Source organism: Homo sapiens, chromosome 1 (genome assembly GCF_000001405.40).
Source record: "Homo sapiens chromosome 1, GRCh38.p14 Primary Assembly".
NCBI lineage: Eukaryota > Metazoa > Chordata > Mammalia > Primates > Hominidae > Homo > Homo sapiens.
Window position 1 is genome coordinate 120,611,801 of NC_000001.11, and position 25,979 is coordinate 120,637,779.

General features: G+C 40.4%; 1 pseudogene across 2 annotated transcripts in view; it reads right to left on the reverse strand.

Moving 5' to 3' along the window:
• Positions 1 to 25,979, reverse strand: part of PDE4DIPP2 (PDE4DIP pseudogene 2) — a 195,809-nt pseudogene that overhangs the window by 142,173 nt on the left and 27,657 nt on the right. For both annotated transcript variants that reach the window (NR_144517.1, NR_144516.1), the window contains one exon: positions 8,555 to 8,665. The product of NR_144517.1 is annotated as a PDE4DIP pseudogene 2, transcript variant 2 (transcript). The remainder of the gene's footprint in view (positions 1 to 8,554; positions 8,666 to 25,979) is intronic.

The following is a 25,979-nucleotide window of genomic DNA, read 5'->3' on the forward strand; positions in this document are numbered from 1 at the left end:
GGATTCAATGCAAACTTCAAACACTTGGCAAGGCCTTTCCTGGTGGATTTTATTGCACTATAGCATAATCTGTCCATACCTCTATGGTAGCCCTTATTATACCATTTTTATTTATTTGTTGATGTCTTCTCCACCAGAATCTAGCACAGTAGCTGGCATATAGTAGATAATCAATAGACATTCGACTGAATATACCAATGCATATGTGCAAATATGAGCAAAAAAATGACTAAAATGATATTGCAAACAAGGGAAACATTTGAGACAGAAATTTAGAATGTCTATTTTTTTCAAGTGTAACATGCTACTTCTATCAGTGCATAAACCTGAATGTACATACACTATAGAAAGAAGTGGCCTTGTAATAAGTTCATGCAGAAGTATAAATTATGTAGACATTGTTAGGGGGATAACTGAAAGTGGATTAGAATTAAATTAGGGCCCAGAATTTAGTCTGGGATTTGTTTTCCAGTGGTTGAAAGAAAAATTCCTAAGTATTCAAAGGGAAGAAGCATTTCTCAACAGGCAAGTATTATGAATTCTAATTAAAAGCTCTGAAAAAATGAGATAAGTTGTGTTAAGGAAAAGCAGAAAACAGAGTTGCCTTTGGTTAAGAGTTCCACTATTTTTATAAGCAACTGACTTTTTGGGGAAAGTTGCTTTAAGCATTTTTTTTTCTGTGTGTATGTGTGAGATGGGGTCTCACTCTGTCACCCAGGCTAGAATGCAGGAGCACAATCATGGCTCACTGCAGCCTCAACCTTCTGGGCTCAAGCAATCCTCCCACCTCAGCCTCCCAAGTAGCTGGTATCACAGCCACACACCACTATGTCAGCTAATTAAAAAAAAAAAAAATTTACAGAGATGCAGTCTTGCTATGTTTCCCAGGCTGGTCTCAAACTCCTGGGCTCAAGTGATCCTCCCACCTTGGCCTTGCGAAGTGCTGGGATTACTGACATGCGCCAACATGCCAGGCCTAAACATTTTGTGTGTGTGTGTTAAAATATACATATAATAAAATTTGCCATTTTAACTATTTTAAAGTATATAGTTCTATGGCATTAAGTACATTCACATAGTTGTTCAAATATCACTATCCATCTCCAGAACTTTTTCCCAAATGAAACTGTAGCCACTAACTCCCCATTCCCTCCTCCCCACAACCCCTGGCAACCATAGTTCCACTTTCTGTCTTCATTATTTGACTACTCTAGGTACTTCATTTAAGTGAAATAATAAATATTTGTCCTTTAGGGACTGACTTTACTTAGCATGACATCTTTAAGGTTCACTCATGTTACAGCACATGTCAGAGTTTCATACCTTTCTAAGGCTAAATAATATCCAGTGTCTATATAGCCCACATTTTGTTTATCCACTCATTTGTCAATGAACACTTGAGTTGCTTCCACCTGTTGGCTACTGTAAACAATGCTCCTATGAACACAGAAATACAAATATCTATTTGAGTTCCTGTTTTCATTTATTTTGTGTTATACCCAGAGTAGAATTGCTGGATTATACGGTAAGTCTATGTTTAATTTTTTGAGAAACTCCATACTGGTTTTCACAGCACCTGCACCATTTCACATTCTTTCTAGCAATGTGCAAGGGTTCCAATTTCTCCACATCTTTACTAGTATTTGTTATTTTCTGGGTTGTTTGATTTTTAGTATAATAGCCATCCTAATGAGTGTGAAGTTTAAAAAAATATTTAACCAAAATCATAAATATTGGTTACAAATATTTAATGGATGGATTCCCTCTATTTCTGCCAACTTTCATTCCCTGAAAGAAGAAATAGGTAAGCATGACCTCACGAACCTCAGAAGGCTGAGAATGGGGAATTGGCACACACAGTGTGCGTAGACACAGACACACATGGACCATGTTCATACTAGGCTTCCAGAGAACCATTTAAAAATAGTTTGGCTAATGTAATCTTGTCTGTCTCTTATGTTCCTCCTTTCCCATCATCCACATTTCTTAAAGTTCGTGTAAGTAAAACATAGGAGAAAAAAACATAGCCACTAATTAAATAAGGCATCCAACTGTAAAAGAAGAGCAAACTCTGCTACATATAAGAAGACAAGCATTAATTCTGGCAACAGCAGCCACACAGCCACTTTAGACAATAACCTGAGCAGGTGCATGCTTTCTAGTATGTGTCTCCAGCTATGCAGGATAGAAATCACAATCCTTTCTATTTATCTAACGTCTAATACACTAAAACATGTTTACCCATGGGGGAGGAGAGCACGACAGGAATTGATGACTCTAATTTAGGAAACTAAGGTTCACAGAAGTTAAGTGACTTGCCCAAGATCATGTAGCTAGAAACGGCAGGTTAAGAATTCAGGTTTCCTTAGAGTTCAAAACTTTTATCACAACATTTTTGATAACCCCCCAAGATACTCATCCTTCTCTAATAGCCTTCCTTTGGTTCAAGTCCAGCTTCCTAAATCCTACCGCCTGATGGAGTTCCTGAGCTTCCTTGTAAGTCTGCAGGTATATTGTTCCTCATCATGTTGCCCAAAGCCTAAAGAAATCAGGCTAGGACCAAAGAAAATCAGTCAATGAGCCAAAAAGAAATTTAATCAACCCAGCCTTTCTTATTTATTTTCTTTGAATGAACATTTGTATCTGAGAATGCCAAGGTAAATTTGATGCAATAGGGACACTTGGATTATATTATGTTATTTACACACAAGCAAACAACAATTGAGAATTGAGACAAATAGGACAAATGGTCCCAAGTCCACTATTGAGGAAAAAGAAACTGATTTGGAATAAAAAATAGTCCAGCATGAATGTGTCAGTAATTAAGACTTATCCGGATAAGTTTGCCGTCTCTCAATTTGTCACAATAATGGCAAATATTTATTGAGAGCTTACTATGTGATAGGCATTATGCTGAGTTCAGCTAATTGACTCATTTCATCCTCCTCTAGACCCTGTAAGATAGGTGTTATTACTGCCCTTGCTTTAGCTCAGAGAAATTATGGTATTTTTCCCAACACAAATAGTAAGTAGAAAAATCAAGATTTCACCCCAGGTCTCGCCAATTTATAGCTCTTAGCCGTTATGCCCAGCAATAACAGAATAGTAAAAACAATGACAATTTGGTAGGCAAGTAAAATCAGTAGGCTGTTTACCATAGCTATAGAAGTATGCTATGCATAAACCTCAAAGATTGCGCAGGAAAAGTATCATCCAATCTCAAAGATGAGAAAACCAAAGAAGTTTCAATCTCAAAGAAGTCAGGCAGCTTAAGGGTCATAAAACAACGCAACACAACTCTCTCAACTCATATCTAAGGGCTAAGTCCACTTTAACCTTCCAATATCATTACATCATATTTAAACATTGACTCTATCTGGTCAAGGACGACAACATTTTATTTCTCCTGACCCTTTTGCTATCAGATCTGGCCTTGTCAGTTTTTCAATTTCATTCTTAGAATGGAAACTTAATTCACACAAGTTGAACAAGTAGTCATCAGGGGGCAAAACCCAGTGGATGATGGTTTTGTGTGCTGTTTGGAGACTGGGTGTTTACCACACAGCAGTGGATTTCATAAATTCCAGGGTCAGACAAGATTCCAGTAGCGACACACTTGACTAATATGAGAAAATGCAGGATTAGGCAATCAACAATGAGGAAGTCAGCCAAGTTGCCACCCAAAAATTACTTACCACAGCAGCTGCAGTCCAGAAATGCTAACAAGCCAGTCTCCCTAGGAGTGGGCCATACTCAGCTGTGGACCACTCACAACATTTTCTCACTTTATTTTGCTTCAGAGTCAGTGTACTGCAATGATTTCTCCTTTGCTTGCTTTATATGTTTAAAATTGTCTTCCCTAAAAGCTGAACTTAAAATTAATGTTTGCTACCAAAAGGGGGTAGCAGTGCCTGGTCATGTAGGCATATGTCCCACTCTGTCGGTACAGAGGGTAAGCAGCCTCTTCCTTTTTAAAAAATTTATTATGATGATTTACAAAAATTGAAGCTTACAGGATAAACACTCAACAAAAAAGTAGCCAGTCTCAAGAAACCAATTTTTATGTATGAATTAATATTATTTTATTAATCCATGGCCAGGATGATTCTTAAGATTATTTCTTAATTCTCTGAACAGCTTAAAAGAGAGAAACTCCTTCTTTTTTATTTACTTGCTTTGAGGTTGATACTCTTAGGTTTTTAACATAACTCTCTAGCTTTGACAACTCCTCTTATAATTTAAAATCCTTATAGCTTCCATTTACAAGTAAGGATTATATCTATTTTAGTCTCCTCAATCAGCTACCTAGGAGAAGACTTGCCACTTGGAAAGAGAAAGATAGCACCCACTCTCCAGTTCTCTTCTCCCAAAGTTGCCCGTATTTCCCTTCCCTGAAGCCAATCAAATACTTTATTGTTTCTCGCTAAGAGTAATTTTTCACTCTTAAGTACAAACAGCTCAACAAAAATTCCCGGTAGCATAAATATGCACATCAATAAAATAATTACTACTCACAATAGACTTTCCATTACATATGTTTCACAAGCATTGGTTTTCTTAAAAAGAACCACGCATACAGCACTCAAATTATTGCAGATTCTAACTCAGTAGAGTTTGATTTAATGTTTTTACAATATTTTTTTTAAAGAAGTGTCCTTCCAACGCTAAAGAAAAAAATCAGAATCAAGAAAATTCTGTTTCTTAGCAACAGAAAAATCAAACTTCTGTTACTAAGTTTGGTAACAGAACAGTACTCTAAATTATCCTCTGAACCACCTGATTTACCATGTGATGCTGGGCACATTGCTGCTAATTAATCTTCCTAATCTCGTGGGATCACAATATGAATAACAAGAATGAACATAAGACACATCTGTGGGAATTATGAGGGGGAGATTATAAAGAGTCAAACCTTGTCCCCATATTTAAATTTTATAACTATAACTACTAGTAGAAATATAACTACTACCCTCTCATATATATGTGATGTTATTAAGTTTATAAAGTGTTTTGATATGTTTCTTATTTCATCTTCATGGCTGCTATTTATTCATAGAAAAATAATTCTCAGTATCTGTAGCATTATTGTTAATGTCAATCCTATAGAGGCTGGAACAGGCTCAGAGAGGCTAAGTAACTTGCCTAACTAAGTCTCCTTGTTGACAATAGGTCTTAATGCAGTGTTTTCCGAATCCCTCGTTCTTACATCAAAACAGAACTGTGGCTGGGTGTGGTGGCTCATGCCTGTAATCCCAGCAATTTAGGAGGCCAAGGTGGGAAGATCACTTGAGCCCAGGAATTTGAGACCAGCCTGGGCAACATAGTGAGTGAGACCTCAATCTCTGCCAAAAAAAAAAAAAAAAAAAAAATACATACACACACACACACACACACACACATATATATATAAATAATTAGCCAGGTGTGGTGGCACACCTGTGGTCCCAGCTACTTGGGAGGCTGGGGTGGGAGGATCATTTGAGCCCAGGAGGTCAAGGCTGCAGTGAGTCGTGACGGTGCCACTGCACTCTAGCCTGGGTGACAGAGCGAGACCCTGTCTCAAAAAATAAAATAAACCAGAACGGCTCTAGTTCCTATCAATCACTCATCATGACATAGTGTGGTAAACTAATTTCAACTCTGAATGATTGATAATGGCTTTATGTGTTCTGTTTCCCAAGTAATAAGAACATTTTAGCACAAGCCTTTAGCGCTTTTCAAATAATCATAGCCAAATGAGAAAATTAATATGACAGGCAGATTGAACAAACATTTGGTGAGAAGGAAGAGGAGGGGATACAGTAGTTTGAGATCCCTCAAATCATATGATGCAGTAGCTGCCTGACAACTCTGCTAACACGTAAGACTAGATAGAGACAGGGCCATATCTACTTCCTGTATGGGACCCATGGCAATACTAGAGTCTAGCAAAAGGGTTGTCCTCTCTGCATGTGACAACAGGCTGTGTTCCACTCCCCCCACATACACCTTGTGCAGCTCCTATAATCTCATTTATCACACTTCTCCAGGTGAGAAATGGTGCCTTCTCACACCCCACCCAAAGTTGTTTCCTAAAGATCTTTCGCTAGGGCAGAGCAGAGAGTGAGACCAAATGATTCAGACAGCCATCTGATTCAGCTTTAAAAAAAAAAAAATCCTGGTGGGGCGCAGTGGCTCACGCCTGTAATCCCAGTACTTTGGGAGGCTGAGGCGGGTGGATCGCCTGAGGTCAGGAGTTTGAGACCAGCCTGGCCAACATGGTAAAACCCCGCCTCTATTAAAAATACAAAAATTAGCCAGGTGTGGTAGCAGGCGTCTGTAGTCCCAGCTACTCCAGAGAATCGCTTGAACCCAGGAGGCGGAGGTTGCAGTGAGCTGAGATCGTGCCACTGCACTCTAGCCTGGGCGACAGAGTGAGACTCTGTCTCAGAACAACAACAACAACAACAAAATCCTTTCCCTCAAATTACCTAAGAAATTGTCCTTTCCTTCTTTGCCCTGAAGACAGTTAATGGGGAAAGTTCCTCCCTCTGCACAGTGAATACATCCATCCACTATTCCTACCCTAACCCTAAGGCAAAACCTCCCACTCATCCTCCGTCTCTCGCCATCTCTCTGTTACCAACCCTCACTTGGCAATATCCTTCTTGACACGTGGCAGCTCCAATGAGGCACACTCATTACATAGCCACGTAAAAGATAAAAGGTGAATCTGGACCAACTTCTGGAAAATTTGGACTTAAAACATGGAAATGCAGGAGAGACAGGAAATAGAGTTAAATCCCCCAGATTTAGCTATACACATTAATTGAATTAACTAAATAATCATTTGGGTCTCATAGACACCAGCTATTTCCCTGATCCAAGATGTTATCTAGCAGCCTGTATCGCTTCCCAGTCATCCATCCTCTTGACAGGACAGAGCACACATAGAAAATGGTATTTGTATAGTCCTCTGGGGTAAACAGTTGGAGAGTTAGAATCTCTGATAAGGTCAGAGGCAACCAGTCCCCGGTCACTTGGGCCACTTCAGGTCCTGCTTGTCCAGACACAGAGAGGGCTGAGGAAACCAATATTGTGGTGACCAGCTACGAGGCTTAATCCTCATAACCCATAGCCCAATGTCCTCTTATCAAGGTGCTGTCCTATCTCACCCACAGCTCAGCCAATCCAGTAGGTCTTCCTTCCCCACCCTGATCACTGACCCATCAATCAAGATAGCCCTCTCATCCAAGGAAGAGGCCATTTCCCCTCCCACTCCACCCAGGCCAACTGCTATCCCACAGGTTACTCTCTTCTTCATTTTAAGGCAAGCTATTCCAAAGACTAAAAATGCCTAAGATTCTGTCCTAAAAGCTTATCTGCATAGTCATCTTCAAAAGCAAACATGAATTTCTCAAGGAACGGAAACACCCTTAGCCCCTGCCCTTTTCTCCATAGCATCATTCTCTGCCCCACCAAGCCGGAGCTAGGAGGGCACTTTCTCTAGGAGAGGTATGACCTGGAGATGATCTGCTTCAGAGCCACCTCAGGGATCTTGCTTAAAAATGCATATTTTCCCAGGCAAAGTGGCTCATGCCTATAATACCAACAACAGTGGAGGCTGAGGTGGGAGGATCTAAAGGCCAGGAGTTTGAGACCAGCCTGGACAACATAGTGCCACCCCTTTGGTACGAATTTTTTTTTTTTTTTTTGAGACAGACTCTTGCTCTGTCACCTAGGCTGGAGTGTAGCGGCACAATCCCGTCTCACCGCAACCTCCGCCTCCTGGGTTCAAGCAATTCTCCTGCCTCAGCCTCCCAAGTAGCTTGGACTACAGGCATATGCCACCACACCCGCTAATTTTTGTACTTTTTAAGTAGAGATGGAGTTTCACCATGTTGGCCAGGCTGGTCTCGATCTCCTGACCTCAAGCCTTCTGTCTTCCTTGGCTTCCCAAAGTGCTGGGATTACAGGCATGAGCCACTGTGCCCTGCCAATTTTTTTTGTTTTTAATTATCTGGGCCTGGTGTCCTGTGCCTGTGGTCCCAGCTGCTCAGGAGGCTGAGCCAGAAGGCATCACTTGAGCCCAAGAGTTGGTGGCTGCAGTGCTATGATGGTGACACTGCACTCCAGCCTGAGCAAAGGGCAAGACCTGTTTCTAAAATAAATAAATTTTAAAAATGCAAATATCCACCCCAGCCCCACCCTCTCCCCCCACCTTCCCCCACATTACTACATCGGAATCCCTAGGGTGAGGCATGGAATCTACATTTTAAACCAGCTCCCAAGGTGATTGTTCCGCACAGTTCCACGTCAGTGTTTGAGAGCGGCTCTGATTTATTCCAGTCCTCTTTCTTTACAGAGAAGGAAAGCAGAAAGCAGGCACCAGAGAGGTGAAATGAGCTTGTCCAAGGTCACAGGTTGTTAAGGTGACCAGAGCTGGACGAAACCCCACCTCTCTCGCTGACTAGCACAGCGCCAGCTAGGAAGAGCCTAGAATAGCGACCAACTGGCAGGCCAAACCGTCCCCTGCCCCTGCCCCTGCCTCGGAGAAGCGGGCCCCTGCACTCACCCGCTTGTAGATGTCCTCCCGGCTGGCCTCATACTTCTGTTGCATGCGCTCCTCCAGGAAGTAGATGAGCAGCTTGAGGCTGAAGTTCTCCTTCTTCAGGTCATTGAGGTGCTGGGACAGAGTGCGATATCCATTAGACATGATGGGCAACCCATGGGGAGGAGCGTGCCCGATTGCCCCCTCAACCCAGGAACATGGTGCAGCTGCACCGCAGCATGAAGCCAGCCGGCTGGGACGCTGCTGAGGCTGCGGACCGAGAGGCTGGGGCTATGGCGACATGGCCCCTATTGCTGGAGCTCTCTCCGGGACTCGGGACTGGGCTCACTGCTCTGGGTGCTGGAGCGCAGCACACTTTCCTTTTTTACCTCAGGGAGATATTTGCGGAATCCCTGACAGAGGAACATGCTGCGTGAACTCAGACACAAGTGGTGTAACCCGACTCCAAGCCAGGACTCTGCTGTCACCCTCCTGGAGCCTCCCAGGCCCAACTGTAGGCAGTTAACAGCTTCTCGGAAAAGAGAGACTGACCCCCAAGAGCTTCCAGGAAAGGGGGAGGGGAGATATTCAAGGTGACAGTGGGTTTGCAAAGAAGAGAAGGAAATAGAGGGTGGGGAGGGGGTATTTAAATGACTTGTGGCTGATTTGGACTATAAGACCAAAAGGAGTGTGGCCAGAAGCAAGAAATAAGGTTGCTATAGAAAAGACCATGTACATAAAATGGCCCACAAAGGTAACCGCATGTCAAATATCCCCTTTCTGTCCAGTGCAAATCTTAAAGAGCTTCTAACCAGAGGAGTCTCAATTGCCTTTGATAATCCAGAGCTCACTTCTAATGAGTTCCTTTGCAGTTTTCAGCCCCAAGCTTTTTGAGCTCTGAGGCAGTTCAACTAATAGCCTTTATTGCCATGAGTCTTCCCCCGAAACACACCATAGCTACCCGCAAAGAAAGAGCAAATCTTCTAGCTCAGCGGAATCTTTGCAGACTCTATTTACCAGTTACAAAGCTCAGAAAGAGGCAGGGTCAAGGTATCCTCCCTCCATGGAAGAAGGGATGGGCAGAAGAGAGTGTGGGAGGATGACAGAGAGGGAGCCGTCATCCTGGAGCACAAAGATTTCAGGCAGTCACTGGTTCTTAACTCTGGCACCTGCCAAGTGGAGCCGGGCACTCATCACCAGATCTTGCTCCTAAAGTAATTTAAGATCCTTGAGTGACAGCTGCAACATTAGCAGGAAGTATTATTTATACCACATTACATTGAAGGTGATGGGAGACAACCCCAGAGCACAGATAACAAACACGGGTTCTTTGTGGCAATAATATTAGGTTGAAAAAATATATATTAACATTCAAGATAAAGGAAACTACAAAATTTACACTTAATTCAAGCCCTCATTTCCTCCCCAACCTACCTGCTTTTCATTCTTCCAATTCCTTCTCAAACCTTCATAATCATTCCGGTCAACAACTCCTGAGTACTCACCAGGTAGGACATTGGGCATGAGGGATATATAGATCAAGAATGTCCCAACCCTCAAAGAGCTACGTGGCCATACAGCTGGCCATGATATGTTAAGATATGTGTTTTACATTATGATCCTCCAAACCTGTGTTTTTCAACTTTTATATGTTACGTTGCCATCTAGTACATATGCATACACTCTTAACTGAAGTAAATGTTTCAAAAAGTAATTGTCACCATCACTATGTGTGATGTCCTCTGATATTTCCTATTTCTTTTTCTGCCAGTGACCCACCCGACGGATTTCATGACCCACTAATAAGTTTCAGCCTGAGTTTAAAAAGCGTTGACTCTGGGGGAGCCCGTAAGAAAGAGTAGTCAGTTCTTACTGGGGTGATCAGAGAAAGCTTCATTAGGAGTTGAATTTGCACTTTGCCTTGAAAAATAAAAAATGTTTGAGTGGATAAAGTGGCCTCAGGAGGACATAATTAGAGTGAAGCATTCTCCCAAATAGATTTAGATTATAAATAGGCAAAATAGGCAAGCCCAAATATTTACCATTTGAAAAAAAAAAAACTACACATTTAAAATCCATTTAACTATTTTCACTAAATCTGAATTCTTAGAATTTGAGAATGCCAACTAGGCTTAGTTAGAGACAGTGAAGAAAAAAGTCTAAGTTAAAACAACTCAAAATATCCTTTTCCATTCCCAGTTCTCTTACTAAATAGCTATGTTATAGACCATTTCTCTAGAAGCCTAACTGTCCTCACTTAAAAAATGAAATGGCTTTAAAAATTGGTGATTTTTTTTTTTTTTTGAGACAGAGTCTTGCTCTGTTGCCTAGGCTGGAGTGCAGTGGTGCAATCTCAACTCACTGCAACCTCTGCCTCCCGGGTTCAAGCCATTCTCCTGCTTCAGCCTCCTGAGTAGCTGGGACTACAGGTGCCCGCCACCGCGCCCGGCTAATTTTTCATTGTTTTAGTAGAGACAGGGTTTCACAGCGTTAGCCAGGATGGTCTCGATCTCCTGACCTTGAGATCCGCCCGCCTTGGCCTCCCAAAGTGCTGGGATTACAGGCATGAGCCACCGCGTCTGGCCAAAATTAGTGATTTTTAAGGCCCTTTCCTGGTCTAAGCTCTTCAAGGTGATAACCCAGTTAATATCACCTCCATTTTGCTCAAGGGGAGCCAGGCTGCCAGAGTTTAGATAAGTGTTTAATCATGCTTTGGCTGTCTACTTAGATTCCTTTATCAGGTAAAATAATTTCATAAAAGTTTTACCGGAAGTAAAACTGTGTATGAATCCAGGGTATTCTTATGCATCCTAGATTTCTGTTGGACATTTATGCTTATTTCCTCCATGATATCTTGTTCTTCTATCTCTCTGGATCCTTTTCTGTGTTTTTTGCCAGCTCCTGAAAGTGGGTATTTAAATGATGGTAAGTCCTTAGCCTTCTACTTTTTTTTCTCTTCACATTTTTATCCATGGAGGTTTTATCCACTTTTAGGGCTATACTTTCACCTTCGAAACAATTCCCAAATCTCCAACCGAGTCTTCTCACCCAAGATCTAGCCGTACATATTCAACTCTTGGCTTAGATCATTCAACTTGAGTGTTCCCAAATTCCACCCAAGCAAAGCCTTTCCTCTTACCCTAGCCTGGAAAGACTTCTTCCTCTTTTGAACTCTAAGGCAGATATTAACATTCAACAAGTGTTCATATGCTGCCTTATGACGTGGCTTTTGTTATCTTCAAGGGTTATTTACATCTTTTAGAGTTATGCGACTTTTTGTGTGTTTGATCTTTCCAACTAGTCTGAAGCTGCCCAAGGAAAAAGTCAATGACTAACTAATACATCTTCATAAACTCCTACAGCTTCCATAACAACCTGAGACCTCTCCAACAGCATTCATCCCATTGTGCTGTCACAGTCTGTTTACGATGACCTCAACCTGGCTAGAGTGTTTTGAGAGCTGACAAGGCATATTTTGTGTCCTTGTATTCTTGTTGCATAGTACTCAGGAAGCACTCCCTAAATATCTGTGGAATCAATGAACAGGAAAATATTCCATAAACATTGTACGTTTTGCTTTGTTATATATGGGCTGGCTCACCTGTATTATTCTCATAGATTTCCAATAATATGAAAAAAGTTTGTTTTAATAGTCCTAAATAAACTATATTTGGTAGAACACTTATTCTAGAATACGTAGAAAAATGACGTTTTGTTCACTTACATTTCTAAGTTTACATGCCCACCCTGATCTTTTCCCTGAACTCCAATTGATATCTGACTGTCTAGTAGAAATCTCTGCTTGAATTTAGACATCACATACTTGTGATATCTAAAACTGAACTCCTGATCTTTCCCAGTAAACATGCTCCTCCCTCACTACACCTTTTTTCAATTTGTAACAACTCAATATTTTCAGATTTTTGAGCCCAAACCTTTGAATCATTTCTTGATTCATTCTCTCTCCTACATATCATCTGTCTGTAAATCTTACTATGTATATTATACATTATAGTATATATATTAATAACATATATGGTAGTATAATATATATGTTGTAGCTGTTGTATTATGTATGTAATATATAATACTATATTATATATACTATTATACTACTATATATATATTTTATATATATGTTATACTACCACTACTGCCACTGGTATTTCTACCACCCTGACCCACAGTACTGCCATCTTTTCCTTACATGATCTGAATAGCCCCTTAACTGGTGTTCCTGCTCCCACTCTTGTTCCCTTGTAGTCTATTCTCAGCACAGCAGCCACAGTGACCCTTTCAAAATACGTCAGATTACTCCTCTGCTGGAGAGCCCCCTGGCTTCCCATCTAACTTAGAGTGAAAGGTGATGTCCCTTCACCAGACTGCAAGGCCTGAGGCCCTACACCCTCTTCTTGCCTCTCCTATTACCTCCTCTACTTCTTCCTACCACTCTCTCTCTGTTCTCTGCTGTAGCTACACTGTTTCTCTTTGTTATTTCTCAAAAACAGGAAGCAAGAGAAGCTTTCTTTTCCGAGGCCTTTGAACTTGACCCTTCTGCCTGGCTGCCCTTTCTCTAGGGAGGTGCACGATTCTCTCCTCACCTTCTTCATCTTTGATTGAATGTCACCTTCTTCATGAAGTGAATACTCTTTAGGCACCCCATGCCTCATCCCAGCTCTCCGAATCCCCCTTCATTGTTTTTTATTCCGTAGCACTATCACCTTCTAAAATACATTTTCTTATTTATTTTGTTTCTTGTCTGTCTCTCCCCACCAGCATGTAAACTTCCTGAGAAAAGTGGGATGTTTTCTTAGTTTGTTCACTGCTGTGTCACCAGTGCCCAGAATGGTGCCTGATACATAGCTGGTGCTCAATAAATATTTGTTGAATTAAACAATGGATGAGTAATTAACCTGCTGATTTATTTCTCATTGGAGTAATACAACTTAATCGATACACAAGATTATGTAGATGTTTTAGGATAAAAAGCATACCTAATAGCATTCCTCCTTATAAAAAGATTATAAGTAAAATAAATTATTCTAACAGACTCATTTTAATACACCATGCAGAATCTGGACTTTCTACAACAGTTCCGAACAAATATGGAATCGTATATGACAAATTATAAAGGACAATATGAACGGTACAAATAGTAAAAACTGGGCCAGGCACGGTGGCTTATGCCTGTAATCCCAGCACTTTGGGAGGCCCAGGTGAGCAGATCGCATGAGGTCAGGAGTTCAAGACCAGCCCGGTCAACATGGTGAAACTCCGTCTCTACTAAAAATACAAAAATTAGCCGGGCGTGGTGGCATGTGCCTGTAGTCCCAGCTACTCAGGTGGCTGAGGCATGATGATTGCTTGAACCTGGAAAGTAGAGGTTGCAGTGAGCGGAGATCATGCCACTGCACTCCAGCCTGGGTGACAGAGCAAGACTCCGTCTCAGAAAAAAAAAAAAGTAAAAACTATAAAAATTAGGAAGGAGAGGTGGCCAGAGAAGGTACCACAGAGAATTGGCACTTTAGCTTGTCTCAAAGGATGAGTTGAGCTTGGATAGGCAGTGGGGAGAACACAAGGCAGTCCAGGCAGGTGGAACATAAGCGAAAGGGCAGTGTGCCCACCAGGCCAAAGCAAAGGGCACATACTGTCCTGAAATAGGCCACAGAGATGAGGGGAAATAAAAAGCCATCTCAAGGAGATCTTGAAAGCCAGGGTGAGAAGCCTGGAGTTTGCCCCTCCAGGATCCTGGCTCTCAATCTGGATAAGAGTGAGGGGAAGGGAAGTGGAGGTGGGGAGGAGGGCAGTGGGGGTGGGGAGGGCCAGGAACTGCTGACTGGGAAGATTATTTTCTTTGTGTATTGCTTAGGTTTCGTTTTACTTATTTGTTTTCTTGCAGCTTTAACAAACATCAGCGCTGCATGTGGAAACTTGGAAAAGAAAAAAAAAGCTTTAACAAACAAAAACACACATACCTGAGATGCACACAGCAACCTACTAGCTCATGGCAAACAGGCCTATATGTTGATAACCTCTGCATTGCTTAGGAAATAAAACACTGCAGATTCTTGAGCAAGGGGAAGTGCTTCTATCTTTGTTCTTCCTTTTTCTCCTAGTACATATAACATCTTTACTCTGGTCTCAGAATGTTTCTTCCAAACCTTAATGGCTCTCCCCTTCTTTTTCCTTAATTTCTTCATTCCACCCCTGGAATAACGTTCTAGTCCAGACTAGAAATACAACGTAAATAAAGACTCAATCAATGCCAACAGTAGGAGGAGGATTACCACCCAGCTGTTGCCTGTCATGCCCCATTAACACAACCAACTGTCAAGTCTGCCTTTAAAAAACCCAGCTTGACATTTGCTTCATCATATTCAGACCCCCCAGCTAGCTCATATAATGTACGTACTTGAAAACATATTAATTGTTTACCAATCTTTCTCCTAAAAATAAAGCTTCACTAACAAAAAATGATTAATCTTCTTAATGGACACATTCTTTTCAAATATAATCAAACTTCCACAATTTTAACTGTACTAATTTGATATCTGTGGATAATTCTTACCTTTACCTTCCTTGAAAATAAAAATATTTTAAAAATAAGTTAATATGGCAAATAGAAAAACAGAAGAGTAGTGCTTTAAGTAACCCTTGACACTTTACATCAATTTACACATAGACAATAAATATGATCACTATTATACATATTTATCTAGGGTGGGTAGCGTGGAACTGTGAAAAGAGCAATAGCTTTGAACCATGAAGACCAACGTTCAAATCCCGGCTCTCCTTTTTTCTCATTGGGTCGTTTTGGGGAAACTACTTAATAGTTAAGTATAGGAAGACAGTCAGAAGACTGGGATCTGGGCAGGATACTAAGAAGGTTGCAACTGTATCTGTAATGGTAACTTTTGTTTTTTCACCTGAGGAAAATAAACTAAAAATAATGTTTTCTAACATTTAGATATTCAACACATGGACAAGTGTTTAATTATTCTTTGTATATTCCTGTTGTTTGTAAAACAGCTTATAATTTTTAAAACTATTTTAAAGGGAATGAAAGTAGGAATTACAGGGAGGCAGTTATCAATTAGATATAAGGATGAATTCTCTAGTAGAGTTAGATGTAATAAAGATATTGCCACACTCTATCCATATGTTTATACATCAAATTTTTACTGAGTACATACATCATGAGACAAAATAAACTTCCTGTCACAAAAGGTGCTTGACCAAAACTCAAGAATCGCCTTTCAGGGATACTGTTAAAAGTTTTCCCACATCAGCTAGGAGTTAGCTCTAGAGGGCTTTTAAGATCTTTGGCCATCCCGAAATTCTATGCTTGAAACACATTTTCTCATAGAAACGCTCCTACCAAAGGCCAGTGAGAGAACTATCACTTTGCGAAGAATTTCAGAATGCCCACTAGCTCTCCTGTAGCCCTAAAAGGTAATGAGAGTCTACCTGTTCAGACTGAGAGCTCTGGCTGCCTTGTGCTACAGAAGCAGTAAGTGCATGTAAAGGACGCCATATTTCTAAGACAAAAGCAGTAACAATGACTCAAGGATGATGCCCAATAGACGATTTAACCTATAACTTTGCTAATTGTCATATTTTCAAAACAGCCCTATGGGAAGGGTACACAAATGTCTGGGGAGTATTTCCTGCTTTTTAGCACCCAGGGAACTACAACCAGGAGCCCAGCTTATTTTGGATTGGGGATGGGGATAGACAAGAAGAGATGGGGCAGGAAGAAGAGACGGCTGGTTTATTTTACATACACATATTTTATTTATAATACATCTCTGTGTCTAGGCGTCTCTATGCTGTTCTCATAAAATCTGAATTATACAAATAAAAAGTTTAATTCCTGGCTGTTTTGAATGACTTGGGCCTGTATTACAAAATTAATCAGATACAATTATGCTATCTTCACAACAACAATCATCTACATTGGTTTTGACAATGTACAAAGTACTTCCATGTGTATTATTTCGTTTATCTTTACCACAACCTTTGAAGTAGGAAGACATGATGATCCCCATTTTACTGCCTAGGACAGAGAGACATCAGGAGGTTAACTGACTTGTTCACTGAGAAAGCGGAGGAGCACAGACTATAACTCCAACAGTTTGACCCCATACTGCATACGCATCAGGGCCTTAATCATGAGACTGTATGACCCTTCTGAGCCTGGGATTCACTTGCAACTGGGTATTCCCTCTTCTACCTCAGGCCCCCTATACCTTTTCAAAAAGTGTCCTTCACTGTAAATAATCTTCCTGGTGGTGACCCTAAAGGATCTGACAACCTGGATCTATGTAAAAAAAAAAAAAAAATTGTTTTCTTCATTTTCAAGATGAATAAACTAAAGTTGGCTCTCAAAGGGTTAAACAAAGAGTTACCATGTGGCCTAGCAATTCCTTTCCTAGTTATATACCCAAGAAAATTGAAAACATATGGCCACGTGAAATCTTATATACAAATGTTCATAGCAGCATTACTCATAATAGCCAAAATTGGAAGTATTTCAAATGTCCTTCAACTGATGAATGGATAAACAAAATTTAGCATATCCAAATCATAGAATATTACTCAGCCATAAAAAGGAATGAAGTACTGATACATGCTACAACATAAATGACCTTGACAACATTATACGATAATGTGAAAGAAGCCAGACACAAAAGGTCACATACTGTATAATTCCATTTATATGAAATGTCCAGAATAGGCAAATCCAGGCAGAAAGTAGATTAGTGGTTTCCAGGAACCAGGGAGAGGGAAACTGGGAAGTGAGTGTTAATGAGTATGAGGTTTCCTATTGGAGTGAGAAACAGGTACTGGAATTAGACAGTGTGATGGTTGCACAACTCTGTGAATACACTAAAATCATAGAATTGTAAGATTTCAGAAGATGAGCTGTACAGCGTGTTAATCGTTTGAATAAAGCTTTGTTTTCAAAAGAAGACAAAGAAATAAACCAAAGCTGAGAGAAGTAACTAACCCAATCCTTTATCTTTTATAAGAGTTTTTTTAATGATAAAGACTCAGTTAAAGTCCAATTTGATTCAGTTCAGTTAAAGCTAAATGGCTTAGAATGAATCATGTCTAAATATTCTGTATACCAATCCTACCTATATTATAGGGCCCTAAAAGAAGGGTCAGACAAAGTATGCTCTAAGTGGCTCTCAGTACTGAATATTCACAGATTAAGTTTTACAAAAAGGTAAAGTTTTGTGATAACCCTCAGATAAAACAGAAACACATGACCTATGTTTTGACATAAAACATACGTATTTGGCCTGTTCTGAAAAATATGTGTAATTTTCACACACCACATTCTACCAAGGAAAATGTCAACCAGAGCCAACCAACTTGGTGTTCCACTCATCAACTCTTTTATGCCAACATGGTGTTTCTGCCCTTGTCTCAGAAGCCAACTACTGATACCTGCTTCAGAAAACTGACTATGAATTCCACAAAGTCCTGCTTTTTTCTTTTGGATTGTACAATCAACAAACAAGTCACCCTTCTAAAACTCTGTTTCTGAAATTTTAACATAATTCCTGAAGTTCCAGAGTCTCTTAAATGCTAAAATATTAACAATACCATTCCATTTTTTCCCCTAACACTCAGAAGCATACTGATACCCATCCTGTACACAGCCTTTTCTTGCCTGATAACAAGAGCACTAATGACAGAGCTATTGCATCAGGTTGATTAATAAACCCCGTCTTAGGCAGCCTCATCATGTGGATAAAGAAAAGGAGTTAAGATGATGTTCCTGCTGCCTTCCCCAACATAGAAACACACCCACAACACCCCCAATCCTGGAATAACCAGATGTTAGCTTCATCATCACACTAGAGCACTGTAAACCACATCAAAACAAAATGAAACAAATAACAACTTCCCTGGCCACCAAAAATAGATGGCCCAGCCAGAAATAGTGCTGCCAGAGGCAGTTAAATGAGCTGCAAGGCAGGAATGACAGTTGAGCTGCAGTGATGCTGGGGCCTCCCAAGGATTACCAGACTCCAAACTAGATTCTCCATCACTTTGGTCCAATCAACATCAGCAGGACTTGGTATTTGTTCACAATTGGTCCAACTCAGATTATTTGCTGAGCTTCTGGAATTCAGAGAGAGTGACTTATGGGCTCACCTTTTTCTCTAGATTTTAAATAATCCTTTCTCCATTTTTTTCTAGGAGTGAAGGCAATTTTGAAGGCATGACTACGACCTGCTCTGGCCACAAGAGCTAAGAGTTGCCAGGTGTGGTGGCTCAAACACTTTGAGATGCCAATCCCAACACTTTGAGAGGCCAAGGCAGGAGGATTGCTTGAGGCTAGGAGCTTGAAACCAGCCTGGGCAACACAGTGAGACCCCATCTCTACAAAAAATAAAAAAACAGGCCAGGCGCAGTGGCACTTAGGGAGGCCAAGGTGGGTGGATCACCTGAGGTCAGGAGTTCGAGACCAGCCTGACCAACATGGAGAAACCCCGTCTCTACAAAAAATACAAAGTTTGCCAGTGTGGTGGCACATGCCTGTTATCCCAGCTACTCAGGAGGCTGAGGCAGGAGAATCGCTTGAACCCGAAAGGCAGAGGTTGCAGTGAGTGGAGATCACGCCATTGCACTCCAGCCTGCGCAACAAGAGTGAAACTCCATCTCAAATAAATAAATAAAATAAAGTTTTAAAAAGTCAAAATTATCCAGGCGTGATGGTATGTTCTTGTAGTCCCAGCTACTCAGGAAGCTGAGGTGGGGGATCACTTGAATCCGGGAGGTCGAGGCTGCAGTGAGCCAAGATTGTGCCACTGCACTCAAGTCTGGATGACAGAGCAAGACCATGTCTAAAAAAAAAAAAATAATAAACAAAACCAAAAACCAAGAGTCCACAGTGATACCATGAATGCACATGGCTGCAACAATAATGCCTTGACCAGAAGTAGGGGGATAAGGGAAAAGATAGAGCCAACATGAACCCCGATTGACCCTCCCTTGCTCCATCCATGACAGAAAGCCTCCTATTTCTGAATTCACCAGGCTCATGCTGCCTCCAGGACTTTGCATGGGTAGCAGCATTAGCCTAGAATTTCACTTCTCTTCAATTCCCACCCATCTCTCACTTAACTAATCCCAACTCACCCATAAGGATCTAAGTCAGATATTACCTACTAAAAGAAACCTATCTGGCCTTAATGCCTGGGCAAGGGCTTCTCCTGAATGCTTCCACAGCACTGCGGACCTACTCTTATTGTGGCCCATTTCACAGTATATTGGGATTATCTGTTTGACTCTCTCCCCAGTAGATCTGGAGTTCCTTAACAACAGGAAGAATCTTCTTTACTTTTCTTCCAAAAACAGAAATCGCTTTACTGTTTTTTGTTTGTGTTGCTGTTGCTTCAATGGTCATAAAAGTACTACATGTGCCTGTTCCAGTTGTTCTCTTTCTCAGTGGAGGGCATAACCTAGTAGTTGACCAAGCAAGAAAACTTGACATCATTTATTCGTTCAAAACAAACAAAAAAGAAGAAAAGAAAAGGGCATGCCTACTATGTACCAGGCATTATGCTAATCACTGTATCTAGAAGTGAAAAGACAACCACTGTCCCTGCTATAGTGAGCTCATGTTCTAACAGAAAAGGCAGACTTTGAACAAATAACTCACGTTATTGAAGAGAGAGGTGAAGGTAGTCTGAAAGTTTACGACAAGGTGACAGTGGGTAGGATGTGAGTGAAGAGATGAATTGGTGATCTGTCATCTTTGGGTTTCTTCAGCCTCACTGGTTCTACATCCAGTCAATGGCTTAGCTCTATCAATTCTGCCTCTGAAATTTCTTTCACCTGTCCATTTCTCTAATTTTTATACTGGCATCTCCACCAACCTTTGCCTGGAATACTGCAACTGTTTTCTCTGCCTCTAGACTACTCCTCCTATGCAGAGGCCATAAGGAAGCCAAAAGGATCTTTCTAAGAGGAAAATCTGATCATGTCACCTCTCTGTCTAAAAGCTTTCAGCAGTTCCCTTGAGCTCAGATAAAATTTAAAAGCCTTTACATAACTTGCAAGACTCTGTATGATGACTCCTCTCTCTTTTCTCTGGTTTCAGTTCTCTGCATTCCTTACATCCCATTCTCTAGGAATACTGACTATGGTTCTTTCTCTCATCGGGATCTTGATTCAAGCTATTTCCTATGCATGGAACCTTCTTCATTCTCACACTACCACCCCCTTATTAGTGGCTACTTCTTATTCCTTCTTCAGGACCCTGGTTAGATGCAGTTTCCTCTAGGAAACTTTCCCTGAATCCCCCAATCTCTTCAGATTGAGTAAGTGCCCAGTTATATATTCCATAGCACTCTTTATTTCTATTACAATAATAATTACATTCTGTTGGAATTTGCTAATCTGTAGACTCTATGAAGGCAGGAACCATGTTTGCCTATTCAATATTGTATCTGCAATGCTTAAGGTATGCTGCACATAGTAAAAGCACTAGAATATTTTTTCAATGAATAGATAATTAAAATAAATATAATACTCAGTTATAAAGAAGGCAATAGGCTAATTCCATCATCCAGACATAATCAATATCAATGTTTTGGTATGTATCCTTCCAGACATTTCCATCTTTTCTCCCTCAAAAATGAGATCTTATTTTTTGTAATATTCAGTCAAATTGTTGTTGCCGTTGTTTTGTTTAATCTTAAATTTGTTATAATGGACATCCTCCCAAGTCAGTACATTGCTCTATAATGTTCTATTGTATATATATTCCACACTTGAAATAATCCTCACCTTGAGTACTAATATTGTATTGGTATAGAGAATACTGAAATATAAACACTCATCCTTGAACATACATTTTCTTTTTTTTGTTTTTTTTGAGACGGAGTCTAGCTCTGTCACCCAGGCTGGAGTACAGTGGCAATCTCAGCTCAGTGCAACCTCTGCCTCCTGGGTTCAAGCGATTCTCCTGCCTCAGCCTCCTGAGTAGCTGGGATTACAGGTGTGCACCACCACACCTGGCTAATTTTTGTATTTTTAGGAGAGACAGGGTTTTACCATGTTGGCCAGGCTGGTCTCGAACTCCTGACCTCAGGTGATCCGCCTGCCTCAGCCTCCTAAAGTGCTGGAATTACAGGCGTGAGCCACCACGCCCGGCCGAAAATACATATTTTCATACATTCATTCTTGATCATTGTGCAACTAACAGCTAGAACATGGCCTGGCACACACGATGCACTCATAAATGGATGAGTGGATTAACAAATGAATAAGGGGGTCAGCTATCAGTAAGCATAATAAAATTGTGGCTAAGAGTTTAGGCACTAGAACCAGTACACTTATGTCCAAATCCCAGCTCCAGCACTTGCCATCAATTACTAGTGTTTTCCTAGCTTCAGTGTCTCTCTACAAACAAAGACAATGGTTGTACCAACCTCAAAAGACTATTAGGAGAACTGAATAAGATAATAAGGTCAAGCGCATTCTCAGAACTTGGCACACTGTAAGCACTTACAAATATTAATTGGTATCATGATCTTTGTTGCTATTTTTTAAATTTAGTATTGGAATGGAAATTATCATTAGAATGGAAACTTTGCAAAGTCCACAGAAAGAAAGATAAGGCTTCTCTTTGAACAACGGGAGAAGAGAAGAAAACAAGTTTTAATGAGGAGACAGAAAGGAGATAATTTAAAATTACGAAAAGAATTATTCTAATTCAAGTGCTACATTCTCTGTGAAAGTGGTTGCTCTCTTTTCTGTGTTGGTAATCATACCTTTCAGAATGTTCAGGGTTTTCCAACTTTTGTAATTTCATTCTTTTTGATAAAGTTTCTTTATTAATTGCATGACCAAATGTAAGCTAATATTTACAACTTTGAAAAGTTTACACACGCACACGCGCGTGCACAAATTAGAAAAAAATGTTCTATCCCAGTATTTAAGATTTATTTATTTATTTGAGACAGAGTCTCGCTTTGTCGCCCAGGCTGGAGTGCGGTGGCTCGATCTCGGCTTACTGCAACCTCTGCCCTCTGGGTTCAAGCGCTTCTCCTCCCTCAGCCTCCTGAGTAACTGGGATTACAGGCGTGTGCCACCATGCCTAGCTAATTTTTGTATTTTTAATGGAGATGGGGTTTCACCATGTTAGCCAGGCTAGTCTCGAACTCCTGACCTCAGGTGATTCGCTCACCTCAGCCTCCCAAAGTGCTGCAATTACAGGCATGATCACCACACCTCGCCATATTTAAGTTTTAAAAACATACATTAGTTTGGCAAGTACTCCCATCTTGAAATATCTCTTTCAATATTGCCTTAGATGTTATTTAAATTAAATCTTGTATAATTTAAATTTTTTTATGCCCCAATCAGATTGTACATTCTTTGAGAATGGAATCTCATGTCCATCTTTGTATATTCTACAGCACTCAGAAGCATTCCTTTTACTCTGTAGTTCTATAAGAAAAAAAGTAATTGATTTGATTCATATCTTTGGTAATGTTGCTTAGGAAAGAAAACTTTGCATGGAAAGTCTGTGGAATGCCTGTGTGTGGAAGCCTTCTGTTTCCCTTTTTAAACATGAGATTGAAAAGGGAAAACAAACTGCACTTGTGATTGCTGAAAGTTTAATATTTACCCCCTGCCTCCTAGTAACTTTTTGAATGTCTTAAGATACCAGTGAAAACAAAACCAGTATGTTTGGGACACTGTGGTTTGGAAGAATGAATGCATTTTTTTAAAATAAAAATGCACTTCACTAGTAGTATTCATTTTCCAAGGCTGTAATTAGAGAGAAACACTCGAGAAGCACCAAAATTGTGGAACATAAAGAGGGCAGTGACAGGACCCCAATTAACCTAAATTAGCACAGGTTACCCAGACTGTGATAACTCAGAGCTCCAGAAACTCCCCAAAATGAAAAAGCCTTCTGCTTTTAGCACTTTTTTTCTTCTTTTTTCTCCCCAAAGACTTCAAGATTCAAGTGGAAAAGTTCACCAGGATGGGTGGGACCTGAACAGGCTGACTCACTGCGGTTAGATTCAGACTGCCAAGGAAAGCTGCAGAGTACAGTTAGGCATACACTATAGCTGGTTTTGATGATATTTTCTTGTTAAAGACAACATTATTAGAAAAATGTGTAAACAGGACAGGGCAGTGGAGGCCCCCTCTTGATTTTATAGCCAAAGACTCCCACCCTTCCGTGGCTTTTCTGTACCGTCTGCCATGTTGATTCTATGTAAAAAACCCAAATGCAGGCATTCCACCAATGTAATGCTCTCCTTCTCTGAGAGTCCTTTCATTTCCCCAAGAGCTTTGGAATCATTGGAGTTACAGTGGTTCCGTTACTTTATTCTTATATAACTTTGGGCAAGTTATTTGAACCTTGATCTCTTCACTAGTATAATGGTTGTAAAAATAATATCTATCTCATAAGTTAGGAAAATGAACTGAAAATACACTAAATTAAATATGTCAAATATCTAGAAAAGTACCTGGTGCATAATGAGCACTCAAATAGTATTTATTGTTATTAGCTACTATTGTGATCTTCTTAATAAATCCTGTCAAATATTATTTCAAAAAGACTCTTTCTCTCCCGTCCTTTTCATTTTTAGTTTTATCGTTCCATTTAAAGTGGAAAAGAGGCCAGGCGCGTAGTTCGCGCCTGAAATTCCAGCACTTTGGGAGGCCAAGGAGGGTGGACCACTTGAGGCCAGGATTTGGAGACCAGCCTGACCAACATAGCGGAACTCCATCTCTACTAAAAATGCAAAACATTAGCCGGGTGTGGTGGCGGGAGCCTGTAGTCCCAGCTACTCAGGCAGGAGAACTGCTTGAATCCAGGAGGCAGAGGCTGCAGTGAGCTGAGATTGCACCACTGCACTCCAGCCTGGGTGACACAGCAAGACTCCTTCTCAAAAAAAATGAACAATAAAAAAATAAAGTGGAAAAGAAATGTACATTTCTTGACTTCCTAGTTTCCCATCCTACCCAATCAATTAACACGCCAATACCCTCCTTAAAACTGTTCAACTTATTGTGAATACCAGGTAGAGGCAGAAGAGATACAAATCCAATAGGATATCTAATTTTTAATACTTTTCAGCTAGTTTAGTTGATGAATATTTACTGAGCACTTACTATGTACTACATTATGCTATATTCTAGAGACTAGAAAAGAATGGGCAAGAGGTGTTTTCTGCCCTCAAGGAGCTTAGAGTCTTGGTATATATTCTGGGATTAGAGAGTAAGAGAAGGCATCCTAAAATTAAAAAATAAATAAATTTAAAAAGGCACCTGAGCTGAATCTTGAAGGATGAGTAAACTTTAACCAAATAAACAATAGGAGAGAAAAGGTTTTCAAGGCAGAGGGAACAGCAGGTACAAATAAATGAAAGTATGAAACAGCTTTGAATTGCAAGCAGTTCAGAATTAATAGAGTAAAAATCATGTAATAGAGAATATTGGAAGAAAAAAGTGGATTTACAGTTTACCTAGAGAGGCAGGAATCTGGTAGAATTTCAATCTGCATCAATCTAAATAGGAGGAACTAGTGATTCCATTTCCAAATAAGCCAACACCTTCATTAGCACCAAACTTTCACCAGCTGAGTTCCCCAACATAGGACATGCCCACTATCTTTAGGTCACAAAGACATCAGGTGTTTTCAGGCTCAATCATGAGTTATTGGGCAAGTTCCTTTGTTATTCTTTTTGCCATTAGTTCATCATTTGTAAACTGGAATAATAATCATGGCTTTTCTTTTTTTTATTATATTTGAAATTCTGGGATACATGTGCAGAACGTGCAGGTTTGTTGCACAGTATACGTGTGCCATGTTGGTTTGCCGCACCCATCAACCCGTCATCTATATTAGGTATTTCTCCTAATATTATCCCTCACCTTGCCCCACGGCCCCTGACAGGCCCCTGTGCGTGATGATCCCCTCCCTGTGTCCATGTGTTCTCATTAGTCAACTCCCATTTATGTGTGAGAACATAGGGTGTTTGGTTTTCTGTTCCTGTGTTAGTTTGCTGAGAATGATGGTTTCCAGCTTCATCCACGTCCCTGCAAAGGACATGAACTCATTCTTTTTTTATGGCTGCATAGTATTCCATGGCGTATATGTGCCACATTTTCTTTATCCATTCTAACATTAATGGGCATTTGGGTTGGTTCCAAGTCTTTGCCATTGTTAATAGTGCTGCAATAAACATACGTGTGCATGTGTCTTTATAGTAGAATGATTTATAATCCTTTGGGTATATACCCAGTAATGGGATTGCTGGGTCAAATGGTATTTCTAGTTCTAGATCCTTGAAGAATTGTCACACTGTCTTTTACAATGGTTGAACTAATTTACACTCCCACCAGCAGTGTAAAAGCGTTCCTATGTCTCCACATTCTCTCCAGCACCTGTTGTTTCCTG